Source organism: Homo sapiens, chromosome 17 (assembly GCF_000001405.40).
Source record: "Homo sapiens chromosome 17, GRCh38.p14 Primary Assembly".
Lineage (NCBI taxonomy): Eukaryota > Metazoa > Chordata > Mammalia > Primates > Hominidae > Homo > Homo sapiens.
Genome location: NC_000017.11, coordinates 29846133 through 29867305, shown reverse-complemented (window position 1 = coordinate 29867305; position 21173 = coordinate 29846133). Strand labels below are relative to the sequence as shown.

General features: G+C 41.3%; 1 protein-coding gene and 1 pseudogene across 9 annotated transcripts in view; one reads left to right on the top strand and one right to left on the bottom strand.

Annotated features, from left to right (window-relative positions):
- The window catches only part of SSH2 (slingshot protein phosphatase 2), a 304291-nt gene that overhangs the window by 62923 nt on the left and 220195 nt on the right, over positions 1–21173 (top strand). For 4 of the 9 annotated variants that reach the window (XM_005258058.4, NM_001282129.2, XM_017025253.3 and 1 more), the window contains one exon: positions 18377–18457. The exons of the other annotated variants lie outside the window; for them this stretch is intronic. In XM_005258058.4, the coding sequence (XP_005258115.1) occupies positions 18377–18457 (81 nt within the window). The remainder of the gene's footprint in view (positions 1–18376; positions 18458–21173) is intronic. 9 annotated transcript variants of the gene reach the window in all.
- Positions 10886–11571, bottom strand: RPL9P30 (ribosomal protein L9 pseudogene 30; annotated as a pseudogene).

The window sequence follows — 21173 nt, the reverse complement described above, 5'->3', positions numbered from 1 at the left end:
TTAAAGACTGTAAAACTAATATGTAAGGTGATTTACAAGTGAATGGAGGTCAAAAGAATTGCATGCTTTCAGCACACACAGAGTTAACCTTGCAGTATCTCCTTGTTTTGCCAGCCTGCTGTTACCTCATGAAGTTAACAGGACTGATCTTTTAAAAACTCCTACACAGGGCTGGATATGTTGGCTTATGCCTGTAATCCCAGCACTTTGGGAGGGAGCAGGAAGATCACTTGAGCCGAGGAGTTTGAAATCAGCCTGGGCAACAGGGAGACCCCATTTCTACCAAAAAAAAAAAAATCAAAAAATTAGCTGGGCGTGGTGGCACATGGCCTGTAGTTTCAGCTACTCAGGAGACTGAGATGGAAGGATCGTGTGAGCCCTGGTGATGGAGTTTGAAGTGAGCCGATATGGCACTACTGCACTCCAGCCTGGGCAACAGAGCGAGACCTTGTCTCTAAAAATAAAAATAAAATAAATAAAACTACACAGAACAGGAGGGAAATCAGCAGCTAACTTAATAGCAGAAGCCTAACCCAAAATGGAAAATAATAGAATATTTGGTTTGCCTAAGGAGAGAGAAACCAGCCTCTCTATGAATTTCCATTTCAGTTCTCCTCAGCCATTTAATTAGCAACTAGACACATAACTCCAAGAGCTTCTCTTTTGTGCCCTGATATTCTAGGTCTAGAAGTTCTGAGATGCTGTTGCCATTTTTTTCTCATTGTTCTTTTCATGGGTTTTCAGACAGGAGTGAACATCTACCTCTGGCTCCTTGGCTTTTCCCTGTCTGTATAAACTTGTTTATTAACTTGTTGTTTTTTGTGGATGATTACTTCTCAGAATCTGTCATAGTACCTAACTTGGTGTGCATTTTGCACTATATAGGTGTTGATCAAATACAAGTAGCAGCCCTCTATGTAAACCGAATAACTTGTACATATGAATGACTGCTTTTGCATCTCACTGGAGATAACCCCACTTTGCTTTTGGTAGTTTTGCTATCAGTTGCTAGTTTAGGAATCCAAGCATTAGTTAGGAATGTTTCTGTGAGAAAACATAATTCAATATCTACACATAAATTTCTAAATGATCTTTGTACTGCTTGTTTTCAGTTAATTGATTTTTCTAAACTGGTTTCAAATTCTTCCAGCATATAGTCTCCTTTGCTCCCTTATTTCTTTTCTTTCTTTTTTTTTTTTTTTTGAGATGGAGTTTCACTCTGCCACCCAGGCTGGAATACAGTGGCACGATCTAGGCTTACTGAAGCCTCCGCCTCCTGGGTTCAAGCGATTCTCCTGCCTCAGCCTCCTGAGTAGCTGGGACTGCAAGGCACCCACCACCATGCCTGGCTAATTTTTTGTATTTTTAGTGGAGACAGGGTTTCACCATGTTGACCAGGCTGGTCTCGAACTCCTGACCTCAGGTAATCCGCCCGCCTCAGCCTCCCAAAGTGCTGAGATAACAGGCGTGAGCCTCCATGCCCAGCCTGCTCCCTCATTTCTGATATTTGTAAATTTATTGTTCTTCATCTTCTGGTAGTCTTTAGAAGACACTAATTTTTAATTAATCACAATTAGACTTTGTTTCAGGTTCCATTGCTATTTTCTCTGCAGCTTCAACTATTTCTGTCTTTTATAGGTTAAATTAATGAAACCAAACCCCATTTGGGTTCAGTGAAATCTGTGATAGGAATTAAGGTCAGCAAAGTCTTCTTCCCCTTCAAGGAATGATTTTTTAGAGTATTTGTGATTTATTCTTGGTATCCATGATTCTTCCTTAAACTAGGGTTAGAAGTTCCTTAGAGCCCTGACAAATGATACAGTGCATTTTTACTCTCAGCAAATTATCTGCCAGGAAGAGGTTGAATCCCAAGTCCTCCCTCTTTATTTTATAGACTGGATAGGAAACTGGGTTGTAAAGCTTTCCTGCTGGGGATCTCTAATTTCCAAATTGAGTTTAAACTGCTGATTCTCTTTCTTCCCTCCAAGCTCTGATGTTAAAATAAATGTTATCTCTCCACACAGCTGCAGTGATTTAATTGTTGTGCTGTATCAATCTTAAGTTGCAGAAATTACTTTACACTTCTTTTAATTGTAGACTTACCATTTTAGAATATTAAGTCTGTTTTTGTATCTGAGTCAAATATGTATAATAGAGAAGACATTTATCTCTTATTTCAATTTGGTTGTAGAGAAACTGTTTCTTCAGTGCCTGGAGAAGTCATTGGAATTTGGAAACCCACTGCTTAACTGTTTTCATAGGAGTGATATGATTCCACCATTCTAGTTTTAATGCAGTGATTTAAGTGCTATATACAGAAGCAAATACTTTGGACCAGTGGCTCTGAAACTTTAATTTATATCTGAATTACCTGGAGGGCTTGTGAAAAACACATTTCTGGGCACTACACTAGATTTTTATTTGGTAGATCAGGGGTGGGGCCCAAGAATTTGCATTTCTAGCAAGTTGTCAGGTGATTCTGCTGGTCTGGAGACCACACTGAGAATCACTGCTTAGAGGATTTTTTTCTCTCATTTCAGAAACATGCCCTTTTAGGGAAGCTGATTATATTAGAAAAAGAGAAGGGAAAAAATTCAAAAACAAAAAACAAACAAAACTACCTCAAGGAGATGACAGCGTTGTTTCTTTTTTTTTTTTTTTAGTAAGTATTCAGATTATCTCTGTGTGAGGGTGTGAATTTGCAACTACAAGTAATGTGGCATTTGTATGGGATCTGAGATGTGATCAAGTGAACATTCAAAGAATGATAAGCAAAATCTTTAAATCTTATCACCGTTAGTTGCAATAGAAGACTTAGAAAGACAAGGAGAGATATTGTGAAAAAGTATGAGTATATCTATAAGAGACCTGAATTAAAATCTCTACTCTACCACTTAGACTTCATTTATATGAATTTGGAGTGTGTAACCTTACTGGGTTCTTTTAGTATTTTTTTAATCTATCTATCTATTTATTTATTTATTTATTTATTTATTTATTTAGATGGAGTTTTGCTGTTGTTGCCCAGGCTGGAGTGCAATGGCGCAATCTTGGCTCACTGCAACCTCTGCCTCCTGGGTTCAAGCAATTCTCCTACCTCAGCCTCCTGAGTAGCTGAGATTACAGGCGCCTGCCATCACGCCCAGCTAATTTTTTGTATTTTTAATAGAGATGGGGTTTCATCATGGTGGCCAGGCTGGTCTTAAACTCCTGACCTCAGGTGATCCACCCACCTCGGCCTCCCAAAGTGCAGGGGTACAGGCGTGAGCCACCGCGCCCAGCCTAGTATTGAATGAGATAAGAAATCTGAAATGCTTTACCTATGGTAGCTGTCCATCAAAGTTACTTTCATAGAAGCTGGCATCCTCAGTTGCTTTTGTACACTCAGGAATCTTTTCAAAGTTTAAGGGTGATAAATTTTATCCAAAGTAATTACTCGTAAAATAATTGGATCCCAACAATTACACCCCTGTGCATCTGTAGAAGTGCAGACATAGAAGATGTGGGACTTACTCTCCAAGCACACAAAATCTACTTATAGATTTAGGATTCTTTCTTTTGAAGTACCAGAATACCATATTAAAAGTGAGATAATGTTTAAGATGAGAAGGCCAGGAGCAAGGCAATTATAGACTTGATACAGTGATTAATGCAGTTGTCAAGGTTCTGAGTTCTGTCTGTCTGCTCTACCATCTTTAACTTGCTTCCTTTTGTCCTTGGGCCTCTCTTTTTGAGGTCACAAAATGGCTGTCACAGCTCTAGATATCAAATCTGCATAACTGCATCCAAAGGCATAGAAAGGGCAGTTTGTTTTCTCAAATCTCCTTTGTCATGGTGGAAAACTTTTCCCACAAGCCACAGCAGACTTGTCCTCAAGCCTTGAAGACCAGTATTAAGATGTATGACTGTTCTGGGCTTCAGGGAGGCTAAGCTGAAAAGGCAGGTACTTGGCATTGTTAGCCTGAGTACTGGACTGGTAGGTAAAAGAGGTTAGAGATGACTGTTGGGTAGACAACAGAAACAGAAGCCACAGGGAGACAAGACTGCACAGATTAGAGAACAGTTCTGGGCAATTTATCATTAGGCTGAATTGTGTGCTCTAGGCCAGGAGTTGGCAATCTTTTTTTGTTGTTGTTGTTAAGGACCAGTTAGTAAATATTTCAGGCCTCCCCTAAAGATGCCAAAAGCCACATATGGTCTCTGTTGCACATTCTTTGTCCTTTTTTTTAAAAAAAAAACAATCCTTTTTAAAATGCAAAAGCCATTCTTAGCTTGCTGGCTGTATAAAAACAGACCATGGGCCACATTTGGCCCACAGGCTATAGTTTGCCAACCCCTGCCTACATAAGGAAGGTTCAGAAGGGATCTCCTACTTCAGTGGGGCTGAAGTAATCATTTTGAAGCCTCCTGAAATTCTGGGATTTGACTGGTGCTTTGAAGGATGGGTGAGATTTGGACTGAGAGATGTGTTCCTTCTAAAGGGCACAGTGAGAGGAGAAACAAGCCTATGATACTTACCATAACACAGTTGTGTGTTACGTGCAATGAGTGAAGAGCAGCAATACCTTTGCAAATGAAATAGGCTAATTGCAGGCCAGAGTTAGGGAGTAATGTGGCATGAGTATCTTGACTCTCTTAGCCACTGACAGGCCAAGCTGCTAAGAGGCTCTGAGAAATGAAGATGCTCTTTTGGCTTAAAGCTTCCATGTTGATCTGGAGCCCAAGGGAGGCAGTGTTTCATGTAACGGCTCTTCCAGTAGGAGCTGTTGCTACTATTACTATTAAGGAACAAATATCATGTGTTCAGGGGAGTGAAGACTGTTGGTCTCTTAATTATACCTACATACAAAGATTATAACTTATCTTCAAGTTGTGTTATTTTTATAGCAACAAGGAAGAATTGCAACAACTAATACTAAGTCACTGATTCATTGAACATTTATTGAATGTTTACTGTGTGCCAGGCCCTGGCAGTACAAGTTGAGAAGCTCATAGTCCAGAGGGGGATAAAGAACCTGTATAGCAATAATTACAGTAGTGAGTTAAGAGTTAGAAAATGTGTGCACAAGGAACTGTGGATGCCTGGAAGAAGGAACCAGTCAATTTATCCTGATTTAAATTTTCAAATTGACTCAGTTAAATTCAGTAACCACAGATTGTATCCCTAATACTAGACAATTTGCAAATCTGTACCATTTATCACGAAAAAAGCCTATGTAAAATACTATGAGTGGATTAAATCCAAATCATCACCTCTCCAGAAAAAGCTATTTCAAACATTCTGTGGCTGATATTAAGTTTTTGCGATCCTCTTTATGTGCAAAGTATATAACTATAGTGTTGTATTTCCCATTGTACTTAATTAATTTTTTGCTTCCCAGTTTATTGGTGTAAACACTGGATTCTAGAAAACAATTGTTTCCCCCCAGTAAAGCCTTCAAAGACGAAGATTATGGGCCAGGCACAGTGGCTCATGCCTGTAGCACTTTGGGAGGCCCAGGTGGGCGGATCATGAGGTCAGGAGTTCAAGACCAGCCTGGCTAACATAGTGAAACCTCATCTCTACTAAAAATACAAAGCCGAGCATGGTGGCGGGTGCCTGTAGTCCCAGCTACTTGGGAGGCTAAGGCAGGAGAATCTCTTGAACCCGGCAGTGGAAGGTTGCAGTGAGCCGAGATCGCACCACTGCACTCTAGCCTGGACAGCACAGCAAGACCGTCTCAAGAAAAAAAAAAGAAGAAGATTATGGTGGTGGGCAGAATAATGGCCTCCAGTAGAGTCCTCATTCTAATCAGCTGTGAACCTGTAAATATGTTATCTTAACATAGTAAACGAGAAATTAAGGTTGCTGATCATATATAACTTTAAAATAGGAAGATTACCCTGGATTATCGGGGCAGGATGCAACATAATCAGTCACAAAGGCTGTTAAAGTAGAAGAGGGACACCCAAAACTATAAAAACCCTAGAAGACAACCTAGGCAGTACCATTCTGGACATAGGAACAGGCAAAGATTTTATGACACAGATGCCAAAAGCAATTGCAAAGAAGTAAAAGTTGACTAGTTGACTCTAATTAAACTAAAGAGCTTCTGCACAGCAAAAGAAACTATCAACAGAGTGAACAGACAACCTGTAGAATGGGAGAAAATGTTTACAAACTATGCATCTGACAGAGGTCTGATATCCAGCATCTATAAGGAACTTAAACAGATATACAAGAAAAAAAAACAAAAAACTCCATTTAAAAGTGGGCCAAAGGGCTGGACACGGTGGCTCACACCTGTAATCCCAGTACTTTGGGAGGCTGAGATGGGAGGATCACTTGAGGTCAGGAGTTCAAGAGTGGCCTGGCCAACATGGTGAAACCTGTCTCTACTAAAAATACAAAAATTAGCCGGGCGTCATGGCACACGCTTGTAATCCCAGCTACTTGGGAGGCTGAAGCACGAGAATTGCTTGAACCTGGGAGGTGTATGTTGCAGTGAACTGAGATCATGCCACTGCACTCTAGCCTGGGGGACAGAGCGAGACTCTGTCTCAAAAAAAAAAAAGAAAAAAAGTGGGCAAAGGAGACTGAGCACAGTAGCTCATGCCTGTAATCCCAGCACTTTGGGAGGCCGAGGCAGGTGGATCACTTGAGGTCAGGAGTTCATGACTAGCCTGGCCAACATGGCGAAACCTTGTCCATACTAAAAATACAAAAATTAGCTGGGCATGGTGGGACCCTCCTGTAATCGCGGTGGCTGAAGCAAGAGAATTGCTTGAACCCAGGATGCAGAGGTTGCAATGAGCTGAGATTGCACCACTGTACTCCATCCTGGGTGATAGAGTGAGACTCTGTCTCAAAAAAAAAAAAAAAAAAAAGTGGGCAAAGGCCATGAAGAGACGCTTTTCAAAAGAAGAAGTACATGTTGCCAACAATCATATGAAAAAAAGCTCAACATCACTGATCATTAGAGAAATGCAAATCAAAACCATAGTGAGATACCATCTCACAGCAGTCAGAATGGCTATTATTAAAAGTCAAAAAATAACAAATGCTGAGGAGATTGTGGAGAAAATGGAATGCTTATACACTGTTAGTGGGAGTGTAAATTAGTTCAACCATTGTGGAAAGCAGTGTGGCAATTCCTCAAAGAGCTAAAAACAGAATTACCGCCGGCATGCTGACTCACGCCTATAATCCCAGCACTTTGAGAGGCCAAGGCTGGTGGATCACCTGAGGTCAGGAGTTCAAAACCAGCCTGGTCAACATGGTGAAACCCTATCTCTACTAAAAATACAAAAAATTAGCTGGGCTTGGTGGTGGGCACCTGTAATCCCAGCTACTCAGGAGGTTGAGGCAGGAGAATCGCTTGAACTCAGGAGGTGGAGGTTGCAGTGAGCCAAGGTCGTGCCATTGCACTCCAGCCTGGAAAACAAGAGCGAAACTCCATCTCAAAAAAACAAAAACAAAAAAACAGAGCTACCATTCGACCCAACAATCCCCTTACTGGATATATACCCAAAGGAATATAAATCATTCCATCATAATGACACATGCATGTGTATGTTCATTGCAGCCCTATTTACAACAGCAAAGACATGGAATCAGCCTAAATGCCCATCGATGATAGACTGGATAAAGAAAATGTGGTACATATACACTACGAAATACTATGCAGCCATAAAAAAGAACAAGATTATGTCCTTTGCAGGAACATGGATGGAGCTGGATGCTGTTACCCTTAGCAAACTAACATGGGAACAGAAAACCAAATACCGCATGTTCTTATAAGTGGGAGCTAAATGATGAGAACACATGGACACATAGAGGGGAACACAGACACCAGGGCCTACCAGAGAGTGGAGGGTGCAAAGAAGGAGGGGATCAGGAAAAATAACTAATGAGTCCTAGGTTTAATACCTGGATGATGAAATAATCTATAAAGCAAACCCCTGTGACATGAGTTTATTCATATAACAAACCTGCATATATACCCAGGAACTTAAAAGTTAAAAAAAGAGAAAGAAAAAAAAGTGTAAGAGGAACCCAGGAAAGGAGGTCAGATTGATGCGTTAAGAGAACTCAACCCACCTTTACCGATATTGAAGATAGAGGAAGGGAGCCATGAGCCAAAGAATGCAGATAGCCACTAGATGCTAGAAAAGGCAAAGAAATTGATTCTCCTAAAAATAGTTAGGGCTACCATAACAAGTATAAGCCATTTAAACAGACTGATCACTTAAATAACAAATATTTATTTTCTCATAGTTTTGGAGGCTGAAAGTCAAAGATCAATGTGTTGGCAATGTGTTGATTTCTTCTGAGGCTGACCTTCTTGGCCTGTAGAAGGCTGTCCTCTCCCTCTGTTTTCACATGGTCTTTCCTCTGGGTGTATCTGTGTCCTAATCTCTTCTCTTTTTCTATTTTATTTATTTATTTTTTTTTGAGACAGGGTCTTGCTCTGCCATCTAGGCTAAAATGCAGTGGTGTGATCATAGCTCACTGTAAACTTGAACTGCTGGGCTCAAGCAATCCTTCTGCCTCAGCCTCCCGAGTAGTTAGGGCGACAGGCATGCCCAGCTATTTTGTTTTTATTTTTTTGTAGAGATGGCATCTTGCTATGTTGCTCAGGCTGGTCTCGATCTCCTGGCCTCAAGTGATTCTCTTGCCTTGGCCTCTCAAAGTGCTGGGATTATAGGCATGAGCCACTACATGTGGCCCTAATCTCTTTTCATGAGAATATGAGTCATATTGGATTAGGGCCCACCTATATTGGATTAGGGCCTACCCATATTGGAACCACCCCTAGGTTACTAAACCTCATTTTAACTTGATTACTCTTTAAAGGCTCCGTTTCCAAATACAACCACATTCTGAGATACTGGGGATTGAAACTTAAACATGTGAATTTTAGGGGACACAATTTAGCCTGTAACATTCCCCTAGATCCTGCAGAAGGAACACAGGTCTGCCACCTGTTTGATTTTAGGACTCCTTGCCTCTAGACTGTAAAATAATAAATGTATGTTGTTTAAGCCATCGAGTTTGTGGTAATTTGTTATAGCATATTAGAAAATGAGTTTAATTGTAAGTAACTTGAATCTATTAGTAGGAGGCTGATTAACTGAATCATGGGATATCTCTGCAATGAAATATTTGCAGCAATCAGAAACAATGAAATGAATGTCTTAACAGATGAATGGATAAACAAAATGCCATATGTGTGCAATAGAATATTATTCAGACTTAGGAAGGAAATTCTGACACATGCTACAACATGCATGTATCTTGAGGACCTTATGCTAAGTAAGATAACTCAGTCAAAGACAAACAGTGTATGATTCCACTTACATGAATTATCTAGACAAGTCAAAACTCATAGAAACAAAGTGAGTGGTAGTTGCTAAGGGTTGGAATAGGGGGAAATGAAGAGTTGTTTGGTGGATATAGATTCAGTTTTTTGAGATGAAAAAGCTTTAGAGATTGACTATACAACAGTGTGAATATACTGAACTGTACAGTTAACAATAGTTAAGATGGGGCCGGGTGTGATGGCTTATGCCAACACTTTGGGAGGCCAAGGCAGGAGGATTGTTTGAGCCCAGGAGTTTGCAGCCTTTCTGGGAAACATAGTGAGACCCCATCTCTACAGAAAAATTTTAAAAATTACCTGGGTGTGGTAATTTTTAGTCCCAGCAACTAGGGAGGCTGAGATGGGAGGATCGCTTGAGCCTGAGAGGTCCAGGCTTCAGTGAGCCATGATCATGCCACTGTACTTCAGCCTGGGTGACAGCAAGACTCTGTCTCAAAAAAATCAGTTAAGATGGTTGATATGGTTTGACTGTGTCCCCACCCAAATCTCATCTTGAATTCCCACGTGTTGTAGAAGGGAAACTCTGGTGGGAGGTAACTGAATCATGAGGCAAGTCTTTCCCGTGCTGTTCTCATGATAGTGAATAAGTCTCCTGAGATCTGATGGTTTTAAAGAAAGGAGTTCCCCACACAAGCTCTCTCTTTACCTGCTGCCATCCATGTAAGATGTGACTTGCTCTTCCTTGCCTTCTGCCATGATTGTGAGGCTTCCCCAGCCATGTGGAACTGTAAGCCCAATTAAACCTCTTTCTATGTAAATTGCCCAGTTTCGGGTATGTCTTTGTCAGCAGCGTGAAAACAGACTAATACAGTAAATTGGTACCAGTAGAATGCTGAAATGAGTTAAGACTTTGGGGGACTCTTGGGAAGGCATGATTGGTTTTGAAATGTGAGGACATGAGATTTGGGAGGGGCCAGGGGTGGAATGATATGGTTTGGCTGCATCCCCACCCAAATCTTGAATTCCGACATGTTGTGGGAGGGACCCGGTAGGAGGTAATTGAATCATGGGTAAATTTTATGTTATGTTATTTTTTATGTTATGTAGTTTTTAAAAAATAGTGAAACAAAGATACTAAGTTTAAAAGGCAAGGGCAGAAAAATAGGTGCAGTGTGCTTTCATTTGTGTATTTTGGAGAAAGAACATCTACACACACAATGCTTGTATGTACACAGAATAATCCTGAAAGGATTCCTTGGGAACTGGCATAGTGATTACTTCTAGGAATGGGGTTGTGGTAGGTGGGAGGACGGGGATGGAGGAAGACTTAAAAATACTCTTTGACACCTTCTTAGTTGTTTACCACATATATGTGTTACATACTAAAATAATTGTTTTTGGGGATTTTGTTTGTTTGTTTTTGTTTTTTGAGACAGAGTCTCACTCTGTTGCCCAAGCTGGAGTGCAGTGGTGGGATCACGGCTCACTGCAGCCTCAACCTCCTGGGCTCAAATGGTCCTCTCGCCTCAGCCTCTTGCATAGCTGAGACTACAGGCATGCATCACCAAGCCCAGCTGTAATAGAGGTATTTTAATGCATCATTAAAATATCACAAACAGGTCTTATCAACCATACAGTATCTTGTTGCTGTAGCTGGACAACTCTTAGATCTTATTCATCAGCCTGCTAAACTGTTCCTTTTTCAGTGACATACAGATCATCTGAAAGTTTTCTGTTATCTTTGTTTTTAACTGTTGTGGATTGCTAAATCAAAGCAGTTGAATTTGAAACAAACTCAATGTCATTTCCTTCAAGGATTAATACATTTTTCTGGACTTAAGATAACTTAATAAGCAACACCCGGCCTTATCTAAACCATCCAGATGTATTTTTCACCCAAGAAATTTTGGATTTTATCAAGAGACCCATGCTCCTGGATAACTAAGTTGATGGGGAAAGGAGTATGCACAGACCTCATCTTGTAATGGAAGCCCAGTGTAACACCCTTGATAATGTTCTGTACATGATTACAAATAGTGCAAGCAGTAGCCACTTCCTTTCTATTTCCCAATCATTTGTCAACCTAGCGCCTCTTCTTTTCCAAGGAGAATGCATCCTACATTGATGTAATTGAAGTCCCTCCCTAACTTCCTCTGGGGCTCTTCAAAATAACTGTGCATCCTTTCAGAGTGATGTCTGCATTTTCTGGAATGTCAATAGTCTGATTGCCAAGAATGGTCTTCATTCTCTCAGTAGATACAGGAAAGAATTGAAATAATTGTTTTTAAATGTATAATTTGAGCAAAGACTTTAGAGAATTTCCTTAGTTGGATCAGACACAGACTATGAAATTGCTTTGTCAATGCAGTTACACCTAAGTGCCAGGGTATGTCTTGGCCTTTAAAGGATTAAAAGCTTACTCCCAAAGTTGCTGGGCTTTGGGGTATAAATATATTTTATTGTTTGATGTCTGATAGTATATTTTTCTTTTTATTTTTTGAGGCAGGATCTCACTTTATTGTGCAGGCGGGAGTGCAGTGGCGTGATCTCGGCTCACTGCAGCCTCAACTTCCTGAGCTCAGGCGATCCTCCGACCTCAGCCCCCTGAGTAGATGGGACTACAGGTGCATGCTACCACGCCCAGCTAATTTTTTGTATTTTTAGTAGAGAACAGAGTTTTGCCAATGTTGCCCAGGCTGGTCTGAAACTCCTGGGCTACAGTGATCTGCCTGCCTCAGCCTCCCAAATTGTTGGGATTACAGGCATGGGCCACCACGCCCAGCCTATGTCTAATAGTACATTTTCAGTCACTAGCTTTTTTAAGTACACCTGCAATGTATTCACTTAGAACCACAAAAAAAGATACAAAAAAAAAAGAGGAGAGGATGAAAGATGGAGGAAAAAAGGAAAGAGGAAAGAAATAGTAAATGTTCTCTGCCTCTTAAAACCATATAATCTATAACAAGAATAGGGTAAAAGAGACTTAACAGTAACAACAGGGCAACAGGTTTTGACTCTTGTGGGATTTATTCGTTGTTTGTTTGTTTGTTTGTTTTTTAGATGGAGTCTTGCTCTGTCTCCCAGGCTGGAGTGCAGTGGCGCAATCTCGGCTCACTGCAACCTCTGCCTCCTGGGTTCAAGTGATTCCCCTGCCTCAGCCTCCCGAGTAGCTGGGATTACAGGCATCTGCCACCACACCCAGCTAATTTTGTATTTTTAGTAGAGACGGGGTTTTGCCATGTTGGCCAGGCTGGTCTCGAACTCCTGACCTCAGGTGATCCACCCGCCTCGGCCTCCCAAAGTGCTGGGATTACAGGTGTGAGCCACCGTGCCCGGCCTCTTGTGGGATTATTTCTTAAGACTTCTGCTTGTAAATTGTTGGGTAACTGAACAAGTTAGATTTTACACTCTTGAAAACCTCCTTCTTAGTACATGAGTTCTTGCATCATACAGTCCATATAAAAATTGCAACATTTTATTACTATAATTGTTCCTTAGAAGCTGTTCTGGATTGAAACTTCTTGTTATGGTGCAGATGTTTTTCTTACCAACAATCTTAACCCCTGTTTTTCTCCACACAATACTTAGCTAAAGGGACATGTTTCCCCAAGTCATATCTTATCTTTGTAGTTTTTGCGTCCCCATAAAAAGCAAAAAACTGTTTTTGTAACCTGTTCAGTTACCTTTCCCTTTTTGTTTGGTGTTTTACCTTAGCTACTAATAATTCAGCACCCAGAAAAGTGCTTAATACGCAGTAGGGGTACAATAAATGGCAATGAATGACTCATTGTGAGCTCAGTTGCTTCCAGGTTATGTAGGGAATATGATTTTGTCTTTAAGAATGAAAAGCACTTAAGACTTGATATAAGCAAAATTTCCCTTGAAGACAAAAGTTTCTTTGAAAGAAAATTTTAACCCAAATGTATAAGCCTTTTACATCTAGGAAGGAGATTAATATTATTACAGTAATATTTATTATTATTATTAGAAGCAGCAGTAATAGTGGCAACATCAGAAGCTAAGTTATTCTAAGTGCTTTTTTTAATTACTTTTTTTTTTGGTAGAGACACCTATCTTGCTATGTTGTGCAGGCTGGACTTGAACTCCCAGGCTCAAGTCCTCCCTCATCAGCCTCTAGAGCGGCTGAGTATCTAGAACTACAGGCACATGTTACCACACCTGGCTCTAAGTCTCTAAATGCTTTTCTTATGTTATCTCTCATACAGTCTTTCCAACAACCCTAATAGATCGATGTTATTGTTGTGTCCATTTTTATGGATGAGGAAACTGAGCTCAAAGAAATTAAGGAATGTGCTCAAAATCACACTGCTAGTAGGTGGCAGAACCAGGATATGAACTCAGTTTAGTTAAGATTTGGGCTTGATACATCCAATGCAAGAATATGAGTTTGACTTTGCCCTCCTCAAAATTCCTGCCAAAGGGACATGCAAAAGAAGAAAATAAAGAAAAGAGAATTGGTATCTGCACTACAAACTGGGGAAGATCACCACCTTCATGCTAGAAGAAACATTGAGGGAATTTACAATATGAAATTCAGGCAACAAGGTTGAGGTAAAGGCCTACCACTGAGAGTTGCTATGTATAATTAAGCCCACCTAGGCCGCGCGCGGTGGCTCATGCCTGTAATCCCAGCACTTTGGGAGGCCGAGGTGGGCAGATCACAAGGTCAGGAGATGGAGACCATCCTTGTCAACATGGTGAAACCCTGTCTCTACTAAAAATAAAAAAATTAGCCGGTCGTTGTGGTGTGCACCTGTAGTCCCAGCTACTCGGGAGGCTGAGGCAGGAGAATCACTTGAACCCGGGAGGCATAGGCTGCAGTGAGCAGAGATCGCGCCACTGCACTCCCGCCTGGGCAACAGAGAGTGAGACTCTGGAAAAAAAAAAAAAAAAAAATCTCTGCAGTGAATTAAGGCTGCATTTTGTATTCCTAGCTTACTAAAAATGTTTGAAACCAGAAATGACTATTTTGTCAAACGCTTTTTAGCATCTATTTAAATAATTGTGTAGTTTAGTAGAGGTCCTAAATATTAATTCGTCCTTGCAATCTTGGAATAAGCCATATACTCATGAGAAAGACTGTTCACTCTGCAGAACCCGGAAACAATTCAGGAATTAGAATTACCAGGTCTTGGCTGGGCATGGTGGCTCACGCCTATAATCCCAGCACTTTGGGAGGCCGAGGTGGGTGGATCACGAGGTGAGGAGATAGAGACCATCCTGGCTAACACCATGAAACCCCATCTCTACTAAAAATACAAAAAATTAGCCGGCGTGGTGGCACGCGCCTGTAGTCCCAGCTACTCGGGAGGCTGAGGCAGGAGAATTGCTTGAACCCAGGAGGCGGAGGTTGCAGAGAGCAAAGATTGCGCCACTGTACTCCAGCCTGGATGACAGAACGGGACTCCGTCTCAAAAAAAAAAAAAAATTACCAGGTTTCAGAAGGCAGGGAAATGAACTTGACCTTTGTCCTTTGTCTTCCTTTAGGTTTCTCAGAATTTAATTTAGAACTAAATATGTTGGTTGCAAGTAAACAATTGTTCCATGAACCAATTATGTTGTAATGCCATCAGCCCACTTTAATGGATACCTTGTATCTTAATGAATTGTTTCAATTGATGAATATATATATAAAGTCTTAAAATAACTTTAGGAATGCAAGTGTGGTTACAGGACCTCTTTCTTGAAAGGTCATTTTTTTTTTCTTTGAGACAGAGTGTCACTCTGTCACCCATTCTGGTGGCGTGATCTTGGCTCACTGCAACCTTCATCTCCCGGGTTGAAGTGATTCTTCTGTCTCAGCCTCCCCAGTAGCTGGGATTACGATTGAGCACCACCACACCTGGCTAATTTTTGTATTTTTAGTAGAGACGGGTTTTCACCATGTTGGGCAGGCTGGTCTCGAACTCCTGACCTCAGGTGGTCCACCCACCTTGGCCTCCCAAAGTGCTGGGATTACAGGCATGAGCCACCGTGCCCAGCCGAAAGGTCATTTTGAAAGAGCTAGTGTGGACATCTGAAATATTTATAAGAATGAAAGCTGCAACATCTTAACTAGTGTAATTTGGTTTAATTTTTACTTTTCTCTCTTCAGGTCTGTTTTGTTTTGTTTTTGGACACAGGATCTAGCTCTGTTGCCCAGGCCAGATGGCAGTGGCACAATTATGGCTCACTTGAAGCCTCGAACTCCTAAACTCAAGTTATCCTCCCACCTCGGCCTCCCAACTAGCCAGGCCTACAGAGGTGTGCCACCATACTTGGCTGATTATTATTATTTTTTTTTTGTCATGAAGATGGGGTCTTACTATGTTGCCCAGGCAGGTTTCCAACTCCTGGGCTCAAGCTCTCTCCAGTTTTTATCATTATTATTATTATTATTAATTTTTTTTGAGATGGCGTTTCGCTCTTATTGCCCAGGCTGGAGTGCTATGGCCATGATCTTGGCTCACTGTAACCTCCACCACCTGGGTTCAAGCGATTCTCCTGCCTCAGCCTCCAGGGTAGCTGGGATTACAGGTGCCCGCCACCATGCCCAGCTAATTTTTTGTATTTTTAGTAGAGACGGGATTTGACCACATTGGCCAGGCCGGTCTTGAACTCCTGACCTCAGGTGATCCACCCGCCTCCCAAAGTGTTGGGATTACAGGTGTGAGCCACCGTGCCCAGCCTCTCTCTAGTTTTTATACTGTGACAATGACAAGCCACTTTTGATGTGCTTAGTATTATCTATATTATTATCTGTTGTAGTATGAGAGCTTGGGAAGATTGAAAACAGCTCTGATCTCTACCATTTTAATTCTTTCAAATATTTATTATTAAGCCTTTAGCTTTCCTAATACGAGTTCCAGAAGTCTTCAAATATTTTATATATTTTTTAAGCTAGATGGAGAGTAAATGTTCTTATTCTCCCCCCTCCAAAATATAAGAGAACAAGAATTAAAAAGACTTTACATTTGTAGGATTTTTAGCAATAATTTTTGTTTGTTTGTTTCTTTTTTGAGATGGAGTCTCGCTCTGTAGCCCAGGCTGGAGTGCAGTGGCGCGATCTCGGCTCACTGCAACCTCCACCTCCCAGGTTCACGCCATTCTCCTGCCTCAACCTCCCGAGTAGGTGGGACTGCAGGCGCCCGCCACCACACCCGGCTAATTTTTTGCATTTTTAGTAGAGACGGGGTTTCACCATGTTAGTCAGGATGGTCTTGATCTCCTGACCTCGTGATCCACCCGCCTCGGCCTCCCAAAGTGCTGGGATTATAGGCGTGAGCCACCACGCTCGGGCAACAATGATTTTAAATATTTGGTTATTTCTGATTATTTTCTAAAAGAGGAAGAGAGAGGGACAATGCCAGATGAGACTTGGTTTTAAGACAGAAAACTAAAAGTAGACAAAGGGTCAGAGTAGAAAAAAAATGAGAAGGAAGTAAACCAGGAGCAAGGCTGTTATCAGAAAGAGTAACTCTGAGCTTTACTTTCTTTAAGTTTATTTGCACTCTAAAACTCTTATCTCTGAGGGTATACTTTAGATGAAACACAGCCCTACCTGTGAAAAATTAAAGTAGGAATCAACTAGGATAGCCATGAAGTAGTTATAAGTTTCAGCCACTGGTAGTGAGAAGTTTTAATGACGTAAGCTTATGCATCAATGATCCATGTAGGGATAACTCAGTTTCCAGCTGCTGTTAGCTAAACAGCAAACATTTGAATAGAATCTAATGAGTCAGAGTTGGAGCCTTTTCTGTTCCCTTTTTTGAGTTGTTAGTCATAGGGAAAAATACTCCTATGTTACCAGCTAATTATTTCACTCCTTTGTCTTATTTTCCTTGTCTGTCTTCTAGACAGATTTTTAGAAAGAGATTAGAGAACAGAAGAAAAGGTTTTAAATTGTTTTCTGGTGCCTGTTGGGGGACTTGGGTAGGGCATGTCTCCTGGCTCTTTTTTTTTTTTTTTTTTTTTGAGATGGAGTCTTGCACTGTCACCCAGGCTGGAGTGCAATGGCGTGATCTCAGCTCACTGAAACCTCCGCCCCCTGGGTTCATGCGATTCTCCTGCCTCAGCCTCCCTAGTAGCTGGGATTACAGGCACACACTGCCATGCCCGGCTAATATATATATATATATATATATATACTTTTTTTTTTTTTTTTGTAGTACAGACAGGGTTTTACTATGTTGGCCAGGCTGGTCTCAAACTCCTAACCTCAGGTGATCTGCCTGCCTCAGCCTCCCAAAGTGCTAGGATTAGCAGGCATGAGCCACTGTGCCTGGCCTGTCTCTTGGCTCATATGAACACTTGGCAGCAGAGAGCTAATGAGGCTAGGCTAAGAGTTAGATCCCGTAATCAGGCCCTATGCTATATTCTATAGCCTATCTCTAAACAAATACATCAAATGTGTATCTTTGGATGTGAAGATAAATGAACACAAATCTATCCCCAGTCTGAGAAGAGTTCAGAGTACATACTACAAAGGATTAGCAGCACCATCTTTTTTTTTTTTTTTTTTTTTTGAGACGGAGTCTCGCTCTGTCGCCCAGGCTGGAGTACAGTGGCGCGATCTCGGCTCACTGCAAGCTCAGCCTTCCGGGTTCACGCCATTCTCCTGCCTCAGCCTCCCGAGTAGCTGGGACTACAGGCACCGGCCACCACACCCGGCTAATTTTTTCTATTTTTAGTAGAGACCAGGTTTCACTGTGTTAGCTGGGATAGTCTCGATCTCCTGACCTTGTGATCCTCCTGCCTCCGCCTCCCAAAGTGCTGGGATTACAGGCGTGAGCCACTGTGCCCGGCTAGCAGCACCATCTTTACAGAAAAAGATGTGCTGGCTCTTTCCCCAAATCGGGAAACCATAGGAAATGCTTCAGTTGATCAAGCATTCCTCAATCAACTAACCAGTCACCTTGTTGGCAGTGTTCTCTCAAAATAGCCATCACTAATCAGAATTGCAGCTTCTCACCTGTGAGCTAACACCACTGACTCAGTGATTTCAGCTTGCTTTTCCCCTCGTGCTTATGGGCCCATTCGTTTGGATCTCTGAAATGATCTTGTTTGTATTACAGAGCTCTCATTTGGAAGACAGTGAATCAGCAGCATTACTTTGCTGTGAATGTGAAGAATCAGAAATCTTTACTGATTCCAATGTACGTAGGTATATGTTTTTATACAGACTTTGGTGATTCAAGTAAAATCTTATTGGGTAAATTTGGCTATTAAATGCAACTGATATAGTGCCTATTATTTTATCTATTTGACCCCATTCAGCCAAATGTCTGGGAAGGCAAATAGGTGGCTTAGAATGAGTGTATATATAAACAGTATGGTACATTTATATGCATAATGCCATGGCAATGACCACTCAAAAGTTATTTATCAAAGTAGAAAAAATGTGGCATCTTGGAACCTTGAGTGAGTCTCCTTCAATAAAGAGTGTGACTCTTTTTGTGGGATTTTTTTCCCCTCATGCACACATTTTTTTAATGGTCAATAGTATTATTCTTTTCCCTGTGGCAACTGCTTGGTATTGGTGCTGCCACAGGGCCTTTATTCCTCACGTACATGGGCCTCACATGTCTTAGCTATTGATAATGTTAAGCCAAATAGTGTTATAATCACTGGACTGGAAACCCGACCTGATCATCTTAAATGTAGAACTTTATCTAACTACATTTCATGGGATGTTATAAATTTTACTTATCCCATCTGACCTCCTGCTTACTTACCCACAAGAGTCAGGCTGAAGTTAGAGAACAACTTAAATTGACTTATTTTTGTGTGTTGCAATGAGCAGTGGAAATTCTCAGTATATCCTGAGATATAAGTGAACTTCCCCCTGAGTATTGAATGGCCTAGTAGTGATGCAGGACAGATAATCCCCCAAACTGGGGCTTAGCCCAGGAGGGTTCTTAGTTTCACCAGGAAAGAAATCAAGGGCAAACCTGTGGTGTTAGACAGCAATCTTTTATTGAACAGTACTGCTCCTTGTGGAACAGCACTAACTCATAGATAGTGTACCCAGAGTCTGCAACGTGTGGGCTCTTGGCAACTGTATATATACTCGCTTATACCCACTTTCAATTACATGTAAATTAAGGGGCAGGTTAATGCAAATTGAGGGGTGGGTTATTTAGAACTTTCTAGGAAAGGGGCAGTAACTTCTGGGTCATTGCCATGGCATTTGTAAACTGTCATGATGCTGGTGGGAGTGTCCATGCTAATGAGCAATGAGGGCAGCCAGGGATTGCCCTTGTCACAGTCTGCTGGTTTTGGCCAGTTTCTTTGCTTTATCCCATCTGGAACAGATCCTACTTTGTTCAGCAGTGTTGTGACCAGAAAACAAGTCCTGCTGGACTCTTGCCTTATTAGTTCATACACATTGTTCTACCTTAAAGGGGTGTTGGAAGTATTCTGGAGGGAAGTGAAGGGAAGAGTTGTGGGTCAGGAAAACTAATGAGCTCTCCAACTGTCATTTAGATAACTGTCTCCTATTGAGCACCACCCTCCCTCAAAAAAACCTGAGGGGGTCGGCTACAAAAATGCAGACACCGTCCCAGTTGTATTAATGAAAATTAGAAATAGAGAGGACCAGCTCTTTGTGAGAGGCCCTGGTCTCTGCCCTCTGCTTCACCTTTCAGCCCAGATGCCTGACATTTTTATCTATTTGCTTCTCACTGGCTCTAAGTTGAAGACTTGGTGACAACCTGATTTTTTTTAAGGTGTACTGCCCTTTACTGTGAAGCTTGTGCAGATTAGGGATGGCACTGTGAGGAAAGACTTTATTCAAGCATATTTTTGGACTGTTATACCCATAGGAGACTGGGCCGCTCTTGGAATTTTTCCCCCCTATTTTATGAGAGGTTCAAGATGGCCTTGTATCAAACTGAAGTTTAGAAACATAGCAAACCTTTTTCCCACTTGGACATTTTTTTTCTGTGTCTTGGTATAGAATGAATCCTACTTCACAAATTTTAAAAAGTAGAGTTTATATAAACCGAATCATAACACATTTCAAAACTGTATTGTTTTTTACAGATTTGATTGTTTTCTATAATTTTACTTGACTTGATCTCTTCCAACAGGTAGCTGTCACCAAAACTAGGTTCTACAAACCTTGACCATAAAAAATGAATTGTCTGTATCAGGATATTTATTGCTCATAGTAGCACTCCATACATATTGTTGAAGTTTCACTAATGTAAACTATCTCTTGAAGTAAGATGTGTCTCAAGTATATCACCATATTACTACCTGCACTTAGGCTGGCTTCCTCATCTTCATGTCACAGTGAATGCAGTTACCATTTCAGGACCTCATTCACGTATTTATTTACACAACTGCATTTCATTCAGTGTTGATGAATCTGGAATGGCATGAGTTAAGTTATTGTGATTCATTAATAGCTGGAGTGGTGCTCATTTTCCTAGTGCTTGCAAACGTTAACTGATAAATCCATGTGAACACTTATTATCAGTATTTTGCAGATGACAAACTGAGGGTGAAAGGTTATAATCTTTGTCCAGTGTTGTGTGATAAGCAGGAGCAGTGCTGACATGAAATCTCAGCTGATAGCCATCATGAGCTCATCACCAGTGGGCAACCTCATTGATGGAATATGTACCAGTCTCCTTATATGGTATCCTATAAGATTTATTTTGTTCAGACTGGGCACAGTGGCTCATGCCTGTAATCCCAGCTCTTTGGGAGGCTGAGGTGTGCAGATCACTTGAGGTCAAGTGTTTGAGAAAGCCTGGCCAACATGGTGAAACCCCGTCTCTACTAAAAATACAAAAGTCTGGCGTGGTGGTGCATGCCTGTAGTCCCAGCTACTTGGGAGGCCAAGGCAGGAGAATTGCTTGAACC